The following is a 4,145-nucleotide window of genomic DNA, read 5'->3' on the forward strand; positions in this document are numbered from 1 at the left end:
TGGCTGAGCACAGGGGACTTTACTGATGGTACACGACAAGGTGGGGCTCCCTAGGTCCCTCCCTCTTCAAGTGGTCTGCATGGAAACTGTGAGGAGGGGAGTGTGGTGGGGGACTGAGTGTGGCAGGAACTCCCCAGCAGTGAGGGTCTCTCTCTTCCTCTTGTGCTCTCGCTGGAGTTGGTGGTCCAGGAGTCCCACTCCTTGGAGGCCATGTGGGCCATGAGGTCCACCACCCTGTTGCTGTAGCCAAATTCATTGTCATACCAGGAAATGAGCTTGACAAAGTGGTCGTTGAGGGCAATGCCAGCCCCAGCATTGAAGGTGGAGGAGGGGGTGTCACTGTTGAAATCGGAGGAGACCACCTGGTGCTCAGTTTAGCCCAGGATGCCCTTGAGGGGGGCCTTCAACGCCTGCTTCACCACCTTCTTGATGTTGTCATATTTGGCAGGGTTTTCCAGACAGCAGGTCAGGTCCACCACTGACACATTGGCAGTGGGGGCATGGAAGGCCATGCCAGTGAGCTTCCCGTTCAGCTCAGGGATGACCTTTCCCACAGCCTTGGCAGCGTCAGTAGAGGCAGGAATGATGTTCTGGAGAGCCCCGTGGCCGTCATGCCACAGTTTCCCAGAGGGGCCATCCGCAGTCTTCTGGGTGGCAGTGATGGCGTGGACTGTGGTCATGAGTCCTTCCACGATACCAAAGTTGTCATGGATGACCTTGGCCAGGGGCGCTAAGTAGTTGGTGGTGCAGGAGGCATTGCTGACGATCTTGAGGTTGTTGTCATACTTCTCATGGTTCATGCCCATCACAAACATGGGGGCATCAGCAGAGGGGGCAGAGATGATGACCCTTTTGGCTCCCCCCTGCAAATGAGCCCCAGCCTTCTACATGGTGGTGAAGACGCCAGTGGACTCCACGACGTACTCAGCACCAGCATCGCCCCACTTGATTTTAGAGGGATCTTGCTCCTGAAAGATGGTGATGGGATTTCCATTTGATGACAAATTTCCCGTTCTCAGCCTTGATGGTGCCATGGAATTTGCCATGGGTGGAATCATACTGGAACATGTAGACCATGTAGTTGAGGTCAATGAAGGGGTCATTGATGGCAACAATATCCACTTTAACAGAGTTAAACGCAACCCTGCTGACCAGGCGCCTAATACGACCAAATCCGTTGACTCCGACCTTCACCTTCCCCATGGTGTCTCATGGATGCGGCTGGCAATGCAAGAGAAGATGTGGTTGTCTGTCGAACAAGAGGAGCAGAGAGCCAGGTATTTCTTTACAGCAATGCAAGAATGATGTAATAAAATGTCCACTTAACTAATCTCTAAGAAGATTTAGGCTTTTGCTACAGCTCTTGTCTTCTTCTGAGCCCTCACCAGAAATGACCTTTATGCTCCATTTATGGCAATCTAGGCTTTTTCTAGTCTGCTCTTCTAAATTCTTCCAGCCTCTAACCATTACCCAATTTCAAAGGTGCTTCCACATTTTCAGGTATTTTTTATAACAATTGCCCCACTTCTCAGTTCCAATTTTCTGTCTTAGTTCATTCTATGCTGCTATAACAGAATACCACAGACTAGGTAATTTTTAGTTAACAGAATTTATTTGGGTCATGGTTCTGGAGTCTGGGAAGTCCAAGACTGAAGGGCCACATCACATCTGATGAAGGCCTTCTTGCTGTGTCATAACATAGCAGGAGGCATCACAGAGGAGAGACAGAGCAAGAGAGGGGGACAAACTCATCCTTTATAAGAACTCCACTCCCACAATAATGAACCCCGTCCCACATTAATCCTACTCGCCTCCTAAACTTAAAGGCCCCACCTAAACAATGTTCCACTGGGGATTAACTTTCCAACACATGAATTTTGGGGGACACATTTAAACCAGTGGAACAAGAATACTGGGGAATATAAACTAGGACTAACTTTATACCCAGGGAGTTTAGGGCCTGGAAAAGAAAATTTCATGACACAAACCACTGTTGCTTGCCTCAGCAGCTGACGCCTCAGTTTGCAGCGACACTAGAGGGTTCTGCAGTCTTCTACTTCAGTTTGGAAGGAAGAAAAGGGAGATAAATCTTTCAACTTTAATGTGAATTTCAAAGATGCACCAGGTATTGTCTATTGACACTCCACAACATTCCCACTCTTATTCCCTTCCCTGGATTTCAGAGACTGGAGGCCTTGAGACAATATTTCTCAGACTCCCTTGCGAATGCAATCTCTGAAGAAAATTTGGAAGACAGAAGGGAGCTAGAAGCCATACTTTTCCTCTAGCAGGAAGAGTAGATGTGAGTTTTCACAGCACCCTGTTAAACTCCTTTCTAAGCTAGTCATCCTGGGGCCAATGGGATACTCATGCTATCAGCAATGGCTTTCTGCAATTTTCTGACCTCTGGGTGGCAGAAACAATTTCCTGACCATGGTTATCCTGAAAGCTAGTTGTAAACCCTGAGCTATGCTCGTCCACGTTCTTTCTTACTTCCAGGAATGATGATGACCAGAGTGCCTTGGAAGCCATTTTGAAGAGGGCAGAGATGATAACAGGCTGGGTCTACATGAAGGGGCACTGCCTGTCAATATGGAATACCCATGGTTGATTCTTGTGTGAGCAAGAAAGAGACTGTATCTGAGCCATTAAATTTTGGGTCTAATCAGTAGTTTGGCCTAACCATAGTACTACAAAAGTTGTAGTAAGCATCTAGTTACTGGTAGTTCCTGGAGTTTGTGGACAAGCAACCGGGCTTACAAATGGTATCTGAGCATCTGAGAGGTTGCTGTAGTTACATTTTCCCCAGGATGGTAGCTGCATGGGCAAGCAGATTTCTGAAGGGAACCATTTTGACCTTTCTCCTAGGCACAGTACAGTTGGATCCTCCCGGGCAGCTAAATCATGTGTTCAGTACAGCATGGTGGGCAAGAAGATCTGGAATGAGGATCACCTTGTTTTCTTCCTGCAAAGTCATGAATAATGTGATATTGAACAATGCCCATTCCTTTACTACTGTTCTCCCCAGAAACCCTCATGCAACAGAGGAAGGAACGTGGAAGGGAGGAACACTGGCTGAGAAGTCAAGTGGAATGGGTCCTAGTTCCAGTCTGCTAATAACTCCCTGAGGAGTCTTTTCCCTCCTTGGGCCTCAGACTCTTCACCCCAGAAGGGAATTGTTAAGGGGTCTCAGAAGTGAGACTCAGAGAACACACCTGCTGTGTCTTTGTGTGTGTGTGTGTGTGTGTGTGTATGTGTGTGTGTAGGTAGATATGTGTTTAAGGAAATTCTCCTGCTTGGAAGCCACAGCTGCTAAACCAGGGGGTTGCTCAAATCTTCTTTTGACTGAAAGCATAGTCTGAGGACCGGCAGTAATAGCATCACCTGGGAGCTTGTTAGAAATGCAGAATTTCAGGCCCTTTACAGAAGTATTGAATCAGAATCCCCAATTTAACAAGATCCTTAAGGGGATACCAATGTGCATTCAAGTCTGAGATGCACTGCTCCAGAGGACCTGGGATAAGACAAATGTCAGCCTGAAAAAAGAATGGGATTTGAAGTCAGGAGACCTAGGTGTTAGCTTTAATTCTGGAACTCACTGGCTGTCCAAATTGAGCAAGTCATGTAATCACCCTGATCCTTTTTTTGTAAATGGGGTGCTCTAGTAACTACAGAATGGTGTCAAGATCAATGGTGTATGTTCTGGAGCCAAACTGGCTAACCTTAAATCTTGAGTTCGTTTATCAGCTATGAAGCTTTTGGTGAGTTGCTTGATATCTGTGGGCTTCAGTCTCTTTATCTGTAAGATAGGGTATCATAATAATGACAGACATTGAGAATTTTAAAATGGGCCAGGTGCGGTGGTTCATGCCTGTAATCCCAGCACTTTGGGAGACTGAGGCGGGCTGATCACCTGAGGTCAGGAGTTCAAGACCAGCTGGCCAACATGGCGAAACCCTGTCTCTACTAAAAATACAAAAATTAGCTGCGTATGGTGGCACGCGCCTGTAATCCCAGCGACTTGGGAGGCTGAGGCAGGACAATCGCTTGAATCCAGGAGGTGGAGGTTGCAGTGAGCCAAGATCACACCACTGCACTTCAGCCTGGGTGACAGAGCGAGACTCTGTCTAAAAAAAAAAAAGATT

The 4,145-nt window shown here is 47.3% G+C and overlaps 1 pseudogene; it reads right to left on the minus strand.

Annotated features, from left to right (window-relative positions):
* On the minus strand, positions 1-1,274 carry GAPDHP65 (glyceraldehyde 3 phosphate dehydrogenase pseudogene 65; annotated as a pseudogene).

The sequence above is a fragment of the Homo sapiens genome, chromosome X (genome assembly GCF_000001405.40).
Source record: "Homo sapiens chromosome X, GRCh38.p14 Primary Assembly".
Lineage (NCBI taxonomy): Eukaryota > Metazoa > Chordata > Mammalia > Primates > Hominidae > Homo > Homo sapiens.